This window comes from Homo sapiens, chromosome 8 (assembly GCF_000001405.40).
Source record: "Homo sapiens chromosome 8, GRCh38.p14 Primary Assembly".
Classification (NCBI taxonomy): Eukaryota; Metazoa; Chordata; class Mammalia; order Primates; family Hominidae; genus Homo; species Homo sapiens.
Genome location: NC_000008.11, coordinates 72618289 through 72632351, shown reverse-complemented (window position 1 = coordinate 72632351; position 14063 = coordinate 72618289). Strand labels below are relative to the sequence as shown.

The following is a 14063-nucleotide window of genomic DNA, read 5'->3' as shown; positions in this document are numbered from 1 at the left end:
CAAATTTATTTATTGACAACACTGAGATTTGGATTTTATATAATTTTCACTTCATGAAATAATATTCGTCTTTTGATTTTTTTCCATTGCCCCCTCCCATTTTTTTGAGAAAGGGTCTCACTCTGTCTCCCAGGCTGGAGTGCTGTAGTAAGTAGACAGCTCACTGCAGCCTCAACCTCTTGGGCTCATGTGATCCTCCCACCTTAGCTTCTCAAGTAGCTGGGAATACAGGTGCATGTGATCACATCCAGCTAATTTAAAAAAAAAAATCTTTTTTTAAAAGATGGGGGTCTTGCCATGTTGCCCAGATTGGTCTCAAACTCCTGGCCTCAAGTGATCCTCCTGCCTCAGCCTCCCCAAGTGTTGAGATTACAAGCATAAGCCACCATGCCCAGCCCACTTAACCCTTTAAAAATGTAAAAACTCTTCTAGGCTTGTAGACCATACAGAAAAAGGCAGTGGGCTGAGTTGACTGAGCCCTGTCTTAAAATTAATGCTGCATTTGAACAAGGAGCACAAGGCTGAAGACCAGGTCATTAAGACATTCTGAATAACATGGAAATCAACTCAGTAGGAATACCTGTTTTTCAAAAGGAATGAAATATTTACTTGTTAGAACTCTAGCTTGACAAAGAACATTTTATCTATTGATATTAGCATGTGACAATTTAAAAATTTAATTACAATGCTGTTATGGGTTGAATTGTGTCCTCCCCACAAAGTTACGTTGAAGTCTTAAACCCCTGTACCTGAGAATGTGACCTCATTCAGAAATATGGTCTTTACCAATGTAATCAAGCTAAAATGAGGTCATTAGGGTGAGCCCTAATCCAATATGACTGATGTTCTTATAAAAAAGGGGAAACTTGGACACAGAGATGCAAACAGCAAGAACACCATGTGAAGATGAAGACAGAGTTGGAGTGATGCCACAAAAGCCAATGAATGTTAAGGATTGCCAGCAAACCACCAGACGCTAGGAGAGAGGCATAAACAGATTTCTCCCTCACAGCCCACAAAAGGAACCAACCCTGCCAACACCTTGATCTAGGACTTCTTGCCTCCAGAATGGCAAGGCAATACATTTTCTGTTGCTTAAGGCTCTTAGTTTGTGTTACAGCAGTCTCCTCTGATCCGCAGTTTCACTTGCTGTGGTTTCAGTTACCCTTAGGTACATGGGGTAACTCTCAAGATATTCTGAGAAAAAGAGAGGAAGAGTCCATATTCACATAACTTTTATTGCAGTATATTAACTGTTTTATTTTATTATTAGTTATTGTTGTTCATCTCTTATTGTGCCTAATTTATCAATTAAACTTTATCATAGGTATGTATGTATAGAAAAAAACATACTGTATACAGGGTTCAGTACTATCTATAGTTTCAGGCATCCATGGGGGGCTTGGAACGTATCCCCTGTAGATAAGGGGCGCCTATTGCACTTTGTGACAGCAGCCACAGAAACTGATACAAATGCCTTTATTTGTTTTTGAGTTAGGTTTATCAAGGGGTGTCCTGATGTATCTTCTTTCTCCCCTTTTACCAAAAAAAATGCATGCTAGTACAAAGGACAACGCTGACAAATCTGATAGTTGAAAACTTTAGGTATAGGTTACTGGCCACTAATTTGGGCAATTAAGAAGAACATAGCTAAAGTCTAGTCTGTTTGTTATGCTAAAAATCAGTATTAGTAAGGTCAAGTCTGATGCTGAAGATTCATACATGTTACCTACAGATGCCTTAGTAATAGAGACACCCTGCTGACACCTTGATCTAGGACTTCTTGCCTCCAGAATTGAAAGGCAATAAATTTCTGCTGTTTAAGCTGCTCAGTTTGTGGTACAGTAGTCCCCTCTCATCTGTGGTTTCACTTTGATCAACATGCACCAAATACGAAAATAAAATATAAATTGTACTAAACATATAAGATTGAAGACCTTGGGATTTGGAGTAGAATGGAAGAAAAAAGAGACAAAAATTCTATGGTTTAAGAACTTCCTGACCTGTCACATCTATCCATCTGTATCAGTAATTATGTGAATTTTATTAAATATTCTAGAAAAGAAAAAAAAATTTGCTTGAAGACTAAATTCCTATAACCATGGTAACTGGTGGTATGTTGGTAAAGGTGTAACAATCAGTTCATGGTGATGGTTGCCAATTTCTACAGTGTAAATACCACCATAGCTGATCTCAAGCTACCAACATTATTTCACTGAATGTTAAGTAGGAAAGAGATGTACCCAATAATTTTGCACCAGCTGGTGTGAGTCAATTCCAGCATACAACTGGTTATAACAGTAATATCCTACACAATTGTGTGCTTAACAGACAACCATGCTTCAAATAGGTCTGCTTGCTATACGAGTAAGGCAAGATGGCATCTTAATATTGGCCATGATTTTAGAGTTTCTAGACACTGTGTTGGCTCTAACTAGCTGTGCAACATTGAAAAATGTGACTTCATCTCTCTAGGCTCAGTTTCCTTACCTGTGTGCTTACTGAATTGATATCCAAATCACTACAAACTGGAGGAAGGCATTGGCTCTGTTTCATGCTCACTCTCACAGGCTCAGTGCCTAGCACAGAGCCTGGCTTAGGAGGTTCTTAAAGGGGCCATGTGTTGTTCTTGCTTACCCAGAACCCATTGCCCTTCTAGTGACAGCACTCCAATTTTCCTTGAGAAACTGCTTATCTTCTATTCTCAATTCATGTGATCCAAGTGAAACTGATTCCTTCCCTGGCTCCAAACTGAGCATGTGAATCAGGCATAGCCAATCAGAGCATCACATTTTCCCAGCCACGCCAGTCATCATGACTAGCCCAGGGCTGGCAAAAGACTCAGGCCAGACCAATAAGGCTGACTGTTGGGTTATAGGTATTATTATTACTTTGGAAATTCTGGAAGAGAAGTTTGTTTTTCATTGAGATACTGTGTAAAACAAAGATAGAATGAGAGAACAGATTGTTAAGTGTGGAGTTTCTAGAAAGCATAGACTCCCATAAGGGGCGAGCTTACCTGACTGATGGAAGCGGAGTTGGGATTAACTTCAGGTGACATCAGTGCCTCTCAATCAGGAGTTACCAGACACTGTGGGGGCTATTCCTCCTGCTACTAGGACTCTTCCCATTGTTAACACTGAGTCTTCTCTTTAGTTTTTCTTTGAGAATGAGTTCAATTTAGTCTTCAGAAGACATGGATTTCTGAGACTTAACCATACCTGGCTTTCCCCTACATCAAGACTATTGTGTGACACGAATGCTTCAAATGTCTTCTTTTTTTGTCTGTGGTGTCACTGTCTTGCATTCACTTCCTAACAATTGGTTTGACACTCCTCAGTTATATTAGCATTTATTTAGTGCCTAAAATGTTAAGTACGTTATATTTGTAGCTTTCATAAATTCTCGGGCTGCACATAGTTCAAAAAGCACACATATACTTCTGAAGATTTGATGTGGAGGAAGGGAGGCATACAGGACTTTATAAAGGTAAGAAGAGAGAGCTGGCATGGTCACCAGGCCAAGGCCTTAACCTCAGAGTGAGGCTCTCATTTGGATGTTATTCAGCAGCAGATGTGTGCAAGGAGGTGGGCTCGGCCTATTCCCAAATGTTGACCCTAAAAGAAATTTAGCTAGATATAAGAATGAAATGGGGCATGCTGGAAGCTGCTTTCCCATGGTACTGGGGCAACACATGTTTATCAGCGTAAGTTCTCCTGAGATACCAACCTTAATAAAGGATGAAGTGGGCATCATTCCTTGGAGCTATCCTCTAGAAATGCTCCAGAAAAGTGTTATTTTGATGCATGGTTAGCTCTTTTTTCTTGGGAAAAATCTGCTAACCTGCTAAACCACTGTGAAAAGAAGTACTTCAAATAATTATCAGCTACCCCTTTAAGTGCATCTCACACACACACACACACACACACACACACACACACACACACACACCCCCTAACAGGAGAAATCTGCATAATAAGTGACAATAAAGTCAGTTCTGCAATAAAGTCACACACATACACACACATTCCTAAAAATCACTGGGCAAAAAATCCTACAGGACTCATCAGAAAAATGGATGCTAAAAACTTCATCAGTGACCAGACGTGATGGCTCACGCCTGTAATCCCAGCACTTTGGGTGGTCAAGGCGGGCAGATGACATGAGGCCAGGAGTTTGAGAGCAGCCTGGGCAACATGCCAAAACCCTGTTTCTACTAAAAATACAAAAATTAGCCAGGCATGGTGACACACACCTGTAGTCCCAGCTACTCAGGAGGCTGAGGCAGGAGAATCGTTTGAACCTGGGAGGTGGAGGTGGCAGTGGGCTGAGATCCCACCACTGCACTCCAGCCTGGGTGACAGAGCAAGACTCTGTCTCAAAGAAAAAAAACAAAAAGCCAAAAAAAAAGTCATCAGGGAAACATTTTTTTTAATCTAATAAAAATAACACAGTTTTACACATGCTAAATTGTTAAGAAATACATAAATACTACAATAAATACTATATTTTATCTTGAAAACAGACCTGGAGTTTGCTTGCAGAAGTGAGTGTCAAAAGGCTGCAGTTAGTAAGTCATTATGAAGTATGGAAGGAGAGTTATCTGAAGTCAGAAGGAAAGTTCTAACACCAGATGTGGATGGGTGCGGCTCAAAGCACATGGTGAGCAGAGGTAGCTGGCAGATGTTTGAGGTGTGAGCCTGTGTGCAATTTGCACATTCCTACACAGCTCTGTTCATCTGGATGCAGTTTTCTGCATTCACCTAGTGTTATCATGGATAAAAATCATGCATAAAAAAAACAAGACATTTTCATTATGCTCAAATTGTTCTCTAATGTATCAAAATGTGTTGGGACAATTTCCAATTTTCAAAAGAAGTACAGAGCAGAACTGATGGTACCTTGCTTTTGGATCATATACTTTCTATCATTTCTAGGTTATACACAAGGTTGTCTATGATAGAAAATATGATTAGTTATACAGAAAAAAATCAAATTTGAGACCTCCAGAAAGTGTTCTTAATATCTCTGATAGCCATTAGGCTAAATATCACCTGCCCTTTTCTTCACTCCTAGTGACCTCCTTCTCTAAAGAAGATTCAGCATTTGCAATCCTCAAGTTTTTGCATCCTCTTCTCCATAAAAATCTGCTTTCATGAATGAGTGAGATAAACTTATTCTTACTAAAGTATACATGACTGATAAGGGTAAATGACTAGGAATAATTTCAAAGCTTTAAGGTAAAGAAATTTGGCATGAGCTTTTAGAATTTTAGGCATTATCAAACTGATGGGGAAGGTCTTGGAAGTAGATTGATCTTCTAAATATTTGATAAATATTAACACACAATGGTTTCCTACTTAGAACAATAGCCCTTAGAGCCCCCAGTTAGCCTGGTTATGTAAAAAGTGATTATGGCATCAGAAGATGCATGTCGATATCTTGCCTCTTTCTTAAACTAATTACTTGAAAGAGTTTTTCAAGGCTCTTCCCATGACCCCCAAATACCTTTTGCAGGGTTGTTATAAAGAACAAATGAAAGAACACAGCATCTGACACTGTGCTTGTCACATTAACAGGAGGTGCCATGCATAGTGGTCAAGGGCACCAGTTCTGCAACCAGACTGCCTGAATTAAAATTGTAACCCCAACATTTTCTCATTGTTGGATCTTGCGTATGTGTCTTAGGCTTTCTAAGGTTTAGTCTCTTCTATTCAATGGGGACAATAATCCTTTTAAGAAAATAAAATTAAAAACATATCAAAGTGCTCTGCACAATGTCTAGACAGAACTAGTGCTCAACACATGTTATTAACAACCATAACTGCAATTCAACAAGAGCTAGCTCTATGAACACCTTCTGTACACTGCAATAGAAATGTTAGAGTCATTTAGCTGCATGTAACACATTGCACATATAAGCTGCCCAAATATATTCTGAGTGTGATTGATTACATATTAATTTCAAGAAAACCTTTAAGTCTATTCTATAGAATGTGGCCTTAGATTTGTGGTTTCCCAAATACAGTACAGGCTCCTGGTCCCCCAAGTGACTGGCAGTTCAAATTTGCTGGACACTGGGCCTAGGGTGGACTGTGGCCTGTGTATTCTGGGCATTCTGTGGCCCGTGTACCTGGGCATTCTGGGGCTACTTATAAAGCCAGGTAGCTTGTGTGGAAATTCAAGCCCTTCTTAGCTGTCTTGTCTGGACACTAGAACTAACATACATGTTGTTCATGAATGTGACTTTGATCTTCTGAAAATGCTGAATGAATCCTAGGTTTTCTTTTAGACAATGGTCTTTCTATAGAAATCAAATCAATAAGCTGATTTTGAAATTGCTTTTCTTATTTTGGTGACTTTTGGCAGTTATGTATTTAAGCTTTTCAGTATCTTTTTTTGTTTTTTTGAAATAGTGAGATATACTGTATCTCACTATTGCATTATCATGGGACTGCAAAGTTCTGATTCTAAAGCTTCAGCCCATGGAGAACTCGTGTTCTACAGCTGACAACCCCTGTCCTCCCATTCTTTCCTTGAATAAGATCACCTGGTAAGTCAATGCTGAGATATGTCCAGCATTATTTTTCCTCCTTTGGACCAGAAAAGAAATGCTCATTTTTCTGGGTGCAGTGGCTCATGCCCGCAATCCCAGCACTTTGAGAAGCCGAGGCAGAAAGATCACTTGAGCCCAAGCGTTCAAGACCAGCCTGGGCAATAAAGTGAGACCCTGTCTCTAGAAAAAATACAAAAATAACCTGGGCATGGTCACACACGCCTGTAGTCTCAGCTACTTAGGAGGCTGAGGTGGGAGGATCACCCGAGCCCAGGAGGTCAAGGCTGCTGTGAGCTGTGATTGCGCCACTGCACTCCAGCCTGGGTGACAGAATGAGACTCTGTCTCAAAAAATAATAATAAAAGTTAAAAATAAATATTTTAAGTAAATTTTTCTTTCCCATTTTGGGATCACTGAGGTTTTTACTTTGAAATTATAATTGAGATGAATTAAAGCTTCTAAAATGTCTATGTTTTAGATTTATTGAAATACAAGCTCCTCAGAACAGGGACTTCATTTTGTTCACTGCTCCATTTCTAATTCCTCAAAATGTGTCTGGAATACTGAGGGTGTTTGTATTAGTTTCCTGTTTCTATATAACAAATTACCACAAACTCAGTGACTTAAAACAACAGAGGCCTGGCATCTCACAGCTTCTGCGAGTCAGGAGTCTGGACACGGCTTCACTGGGTCTCCCGCTAGTGTCTCACCAGGCTGCTATAAAGGTGTCTGTTGGTTGGTGCTGGGGTCTCCTATGGGGCTTGACTGGGAAAGGATCTGCTTTTGTTGGTGGAATTCAGTTCCTAATGTATGTGATCTTGAGGACTTCTATTTCTCACTAGCTGTTGGCTGGAGGCTTCCCTCAGCTCTAAGAGGCCACCCTCAGCTCCTGGCTAGGTGGGCTCCCAACACGGGCAGCCCACAGCATGGCAGCTGGCATCTTCAAAGCCAGCAAGGAGAGGCTCCAGCAGGAGGGGCACTGCGATGTTATGTGATATAACCAAGTACATCCCACTGCCTTTGCCCTACTCTGTTGTTTTTAAGGAAGTCACAGGCCCCATCCACATTTGAACACCAGGAGGTGGGGGTCATGGGGACCGCCATATCAATCTGCCTACTGCAATGCTCAATATGATGTGTTGACCAAACAAATGAATGCAGACTCACAGTATCTTGTTAGTGTGATCAGGTAGGGTTAATCTAAATTTTGAGTCCATTATTCAATTATAATTAGCATATTTTCCATTCCTTGTTCAATGAAAAAAAAAACCCATATCTCTGAGCAAAAACCATTTGCTAAAAGCCATCTCAGGCTTATGAAGAAGGTTTGAGAGATATCACAATGTACCACAGAACCATAATGTTATCTTTTTTGTTGTTGAAGAAAGTACTTCCCCAAGCACAAAAGGTTGAAATCCTGTGGTAGGCTAAAATCTGTCAGGAAAAAGGCACTTAATGTGTGCTTCTTCTTCGAGGATGTTTTCCCAGTTTTCTGAACATATAGATAATTGGAGAAGTTTTCTACCCGAACTATCCAATTCCATAGCTTTGACTGAGACACTAGCACAGAAAGCCAAGCATGCATGAGGCAGAATGAAGATATTTAAGAACTTAGCATATATTTGTAAAATAGCTTATGTTTAAGTAATTTACTAATATGAACATTATAGAGATTTGATTGATGTAAACAGAAGAGCAGAGTGAGTAGAGAAATGAGGAGGAGGCATGGCTCCTAATTCCGTCTCTAGTAACGATTTGTAGATAAGCTACCTACCAGCATAAGCACTCTTAACTAATGAACACATGCTTATGCACCGATCAGGAAGCACTCAAGCATCTGGGGGGACATGAAAGAAAGGGGTGATCATGAGGGAACTAAGAAAGCTGGAGCCAGAAAGGACATTTGTACCAATGAGAGCCTGTCTTTGGGGCCAGCCTCAGTGGGTCTGATGCTTCACAACTGTGATTTGGGGCACCTAACTTCTTTATAAATCCATCTTCTCATGTATTAAATAAGGAGAGTAAAGACCTACCTGTAGTGGTTGTCATGAGAATTAATTAACCGAATACAGGTGAAGCTTTTTGAATATGACCAGGAAGACAAATGTGACAAATGAGTTATCTTTTTAATCTGGTCAAGGCCTCCTGTGTGCTGGGAGCCTGGTTCCTCTAAACTAGTTCACTAGGTTGTGACTCATATTTTCCCCTGATAACCTATCCACCTTCCTTCTATTTGTAAAACCTTTTTCAATTCTTTATTGTCCCTGAAATGTGTCCAGATGGTTTGGGTTCCAAAGTCTTCTATCAGAACAAACCAGAAACTGCAGATCACAGCCTTTGCTTTTCAATAAGTGACACTTGGTTTTCTTCCCCACTCTGTCCTTGATGCTGCTTCCTTGGGCTCAGAGGTATCTCCCTCTAATCGTCTCCAACCCTCCCCTTCAAAGCTGGAGTTAAGTCTCTGTACTCCTGGAATCAAAACAACTCCAGAAAGGCAAATAGCAAGAAGTGCCCCTAAATTGTGACAGGCATCGCTACAATTTAAGTTGATAGAAGGAATTTATTTGCTTCCTCCAGCTTTGGGGATAACTTTCACCCAATCAATACAGCCAGAGAAAGTTAACCTCAACACTGATTGACTCTGACTGACTGCAACAGAAGTCTTTACAACAGAAATGCTGCAGTGAAATGGCAGTATAATTAACACTCAGTCAATGAAGACACACCAAAAATGATATTTGTAAACCTTCAGTTTCCTTCTTATTGTATTCTGATTTTGGTAAAATCAGAATTTGGGGCCCACTCCCTTGTTTTACAGATAGAGAAATTTGAGCTCAAGTAGATGGTGTCTTGAATAAAACCACATGGCAAGTTCTAGCAGGAGCTGGAACAGATCCCAAACAGAAGTGCTGGTGTCTGGGGGCTCTCAGAGCTTTACTACGGGACTTTCTTACAGGTAACTAAGATGCATGGAGCATTTTAGTAGATAGGGGTCGGAGATAAACCCACTTCAAACCAAATTCTACTGAATACAGGTTATGTTTTAGTTAACACTGTTATATAGACCAGAACAATTAAACAATAAGCTCTCTTAACAGATTCTTACATAATCCTATGGCATAAACCCTAGACTAACTTTCAAAGAAGGTGCACAGTAGAGTTTAATTATCTAGATTATTCACATCCTTCTTCATTCCATTCTTTTTTTTAATTTACCTAAAGTATTCAGATTAATTAACCATTTTTGGAAGCTTGACACAGAAAAAGGGCTTTCATCCCCATCTCACTGTGCAGCTGTACGAAGATGTTTATTCCATCAAGGTTGATCATGATATTCATATCACATTAATTCAGCTGTTCTCTATGATGGCAGATTATGTTAATACCATGTTTGAATGTCTCCTATTATTGGAGGGTCAAGAAATGCTCCAATTAGTCTCAATACTCTTGGATTACAGTGAAAGACTGTGTAGATGTTATTGAGAAGACTAGTTACAGAGGTAGGCTTTTCTTCTTCTGAAATCACTTATACGCCACTTAAAATGTCTATAACCTATTGAAACTATGCAAACATTTTGATTCCTATTTTTCAGAACAAAAAAAGCCTCAGAAAAGTCAAACACTGTCTATTTTCTGTGTACATTCCATAAGGATTAGACTGTTATCTTATTTATCAATTTATCCCCAACATTTCCCAGAGGGCTTGGTAACATCATAGATACTCATGAAATATACACTAATTGACAAAACGATTTTTTAAAAATTGATTATAGATAATACAAACATATTTTAAAGGGCAAACTGTTAACCATATATAATTTGTCTGAGGGTCTAATAGAGCAGGTGAAATAACATGAAATAGGAAAATGTTGCCTATGCTTGAGGTTACATGAATACTACAAACACTTATGAGATGTATGAAGACCAGCTTTCAACATTAAACTGGGAGACAACTTTTCAAAATCAGCTTCAAAGGATAGTGAAATCATGCCACAGATTTCATTAGATCCTTATTTTACTTGTGTAATTCATTGAGAATTTTAGTCTAAATTTTATTAAAACTGTGGTGTTAACGCCAGATTATTTCTGTAAAAAGAAAATGACTGCTAATTAAAATGAGTGCAGGCTCAAGGGGATGGATAGCCCATTCTCCATGATGTGATTATCACACACTGCATGCCTGTATCCAAACATATCATGTACCCTATAACTATATACACCTACTATGTACCCACGAACATTAAAAATAAAAAATTATAAATAAATAATTAAAAATGAGTGCAGGGAAATGTTCAAGTCAAGTGATGTCATTACTATGGTATAAAAAGACAAAACAAACCAACTTTCTGGGAAGCAAGAGAAACAACCATTAGCTGAACTGATGATGGTGTCAAGTTGTTATACTCCATCCCATCTTTCAAGCTTTTTGAGAAAACAGATCTGGAAGCTGGGATCTGGACTGGGGGATTTGATCCTTCTGCGGATCTTGACTACCACGTCCTCCACATATACCACCAGATGGCAGAAGCTTCTTGGTATGTATGGGAGGTCGTTACTGACACGTTGGGATTGAGTCACTTGGAACAAATAAAAATATACAGGTCAGAAAGGGTTAAGAGATGAAATGTACATATGTTAGCAGGATTCTTTTAAAAACACATTCCCATAAACTTGTGATCTTATTTCTTGTATCAAAAGTGAAGACTCATATAAACAGAATCACTTTTATATTAATATTTCCTATTCTGGAATATTCACGAACCAGATGGTTAGGTTTCACAGAAAAACAAAAAATTCTCAGAAAGACAAAAGTCCAGAGACCACATTCCCTTGTGTCTAAGGGCCTAAAACGTAATCCAATGAATTAATGTATCTAAAACGTAGTACTGGCCAGACACAGTGGCTCATGCCTGTAATCCCCACACTTTGGGAGGCCGAGGCGGGTGGATCAACTGAGGTCAGGAGTTTGAGACCAGCCTGGCCAACGTGGTGAAACCCCGTCTCTACTAAAAACACGAAATTAGCCAGGTGTGGTAGCAGGCACCTGTAATCTCAGCTACTCGGGAGGCTGAGGCAGGAGAATCACTTGAACCTGGGAGGCAGAGGTTGCAGTGAGCCAAGGTCGCACCACTGCACTCCAGCCTGGGCAACAAGAGCGAAACTCCATCTCAAAAAAATAAAATAAAATAAAATAAAATACAGTACTGGAAGGCCTTCCAACTTTGGACAACAATGTTGCTAAAGGGAAAGGCTTCAGTTAGAAAGGGACAGTGGGCTTTATCACAGACAAGATTCAGAGGGCACTGAAATGTCTCCCTCTCCTGCACATGTTAGTTCATTTGTATCCTTTAGTTCCAGTAATTTAAGATCTATTAACTACTTCTAGATAGCACTAACTGATATGGTTGATCTTGCAGAAGAGGGACCCAGGTTTGAATCAGCATGTGCTATAAAACGGCCTCTTCTTTTCAGGAGGTGTCTTTGCAGTAGATTCTGGAGAAACAATGATCAGGCTCTCTGGCAGAACATCTAAACTGCCTGTTGGATTTCTGTCTTCCTTGGCAACATTATATTTTAACTGTTTCCCTGTAGAGTAACCAGAAACTTTTGTTTCTCTAAAGTAGTGCTATGTGATGGAAATAGACTAACTTTTTTGGAAGAGGTATTTTTAAAAGTAGATGTAAACAGGTGAAATTAATTTTAATAATATATTTCATTCACCACAGTATATTCAAAATATTATTGCAGCATGCAATCAGTATAAGAATTTATAAATGAACTATTTCCTTTTTTGTTGTAAGTCTTTAAAACAAATTTGCTGTGTATTTCACACTTATAGCACATATTAATTCAGACTAGCTACATTTGAAGAGTTCAGTAGTTACCATATTGGATAGTTACCACAGCTCTAAGGTATCAACATCTCCAATGAATAATTAAATCCTTTAATAAATCATATCAACCAAATGGTTCTGAAACTTTTTACTGTTACAGTTTTGAAGATTATTTTGTTACCTGAAGCTAACTGACCATGTCTGTACACTGTGAAATATTGAGAAACTCTTTTTTTGTGGATGATAAGATTTAGATAAAATAAAATTTGAAGATAATAAAATAAAATTCTTGAAATGAAAATTAGTAAATAAGGGGCTTGCAGGGCACTTCTTCCTTGAGGAGTTCCGTGTGAAGTGGCAGGAGTGGCAGCTATGGAGCCCCAGGAGGAGAAAGAGGTGCAGGTTGCTGTGTGATTAAAAAAAAAAAAAATGGAGGTAATCCCATTTACCTCATACCCATACTCAAAATCTCATACCCATAGTATGAGGTGAACCTACGAATTAGAGATTTTACACCACCTTTTAGAATGCAACAAGCTCCAGGACAGGGATGTCTACCTGGTAATACATGACTTGAAACAGGCAGAAAGCAAGTGAATATAAATCAGAAGCCAAGCCTCTTCAAGACCTTCTCATGGAGAGTGTGAACTTTTCCCCTGCCAATCTCTCCAGCACTGGTTCCAGGTATCTGAATGCTTTGGTTGACAGCACATCGCCCTTGAAACTAAAGATACCTCACTAGCTAGGTTTATCCCTGCAGTGAATAATTCGACATCTGATCTTTCAAACAAAATCCCAAACTGAAGAAATCAAGATTGAATGGGAAAATCTTGAAAAAAAACTAACTGCAACATTAATATTGGAAAAATGTCAAAAAGAGGATCTCAAGAAAGTAGAGTTTCATTTGTCTTTGGAAAGGGTCAAAGTCGACGGTCATCTTCAGAACAGGGATGTTCTAAAAACAAAGTCAGTGGAGTTCAGATTTGAAATCAAAGCTGCAGAGGAGTCACTTTCAGCCAGAGGCATGGATGCTTCTCCATTTCATCAGTCCCTAGTAGCGGTATCAGAGAAACTGGCAGAGTTAAAACGATAGACCATACCTTTGAAGAAAAAAATGGAGTTCTATTTAGATTTAATGCTGAATCCATCTCTTGCTCAAGTGAAAATTGAAGAAGCAAAGAGAGAATTAGGTAGCACTGAAGCTGAACTTACAAAGAAAGTAGACAAAATGGAACCGTGACCAGAGTCAAATAAACATCATTTTCCTTAAAAAAGTAAATTGAATAGGACTTTACAGACTTCCTTTTTCCTCTTGTAATTGCTTAATAATGTAATTTCTGTGTTTTTAGAAGAGATAATAATGTCATAATTGATCAAATCATGGTTTCTTGTTGTGTATAGCAGTTTCTGTGTCCAAATATACAATGTTCGTATTAAAATACCTTTTCTCTGAAAAAAATGAGTAACTAAAATTCTTTCACTAGTGTTCTATTTCAATATAACTGCAAAATAATAAAAATTTATGTTTATTAAAATCTTGTAGTTTTATCAACTAGTTGGATACATGACAACACAGCAAACATATTTTTAAACTAATACTTAGGGTGAATTAATAGGCAAGAAAAAGAAGGAGAGTTTCTCTGATTCTAAGGGTACAAGACCTCAAAAATAAT

The 14063-nt window shown here is 38.8% G+C and overlaps 1 protein-coding gene and 1 pseudogene across 1 annotated transcript in view; one reads left to right on the top strand and one right to left on the bottom strand.

The window, feature by feature from the left end:
- The window catches only part of KCNB2 (potassium voltage-gated channel subfamily B member 2), a 401125-nt gene that overhangs the window by 305998 nt on the left and 81064 nt on the right, over positions 1–14063 (bottom strand). The gene's annotated exons all lie outside the window — the stretch shown is intronic.
- HAUS1P3 (HAUS augmin like complex subunit 1 pseudogene 3) lies at positions 12740–13841 on the top strand (annotated as a pseudogene).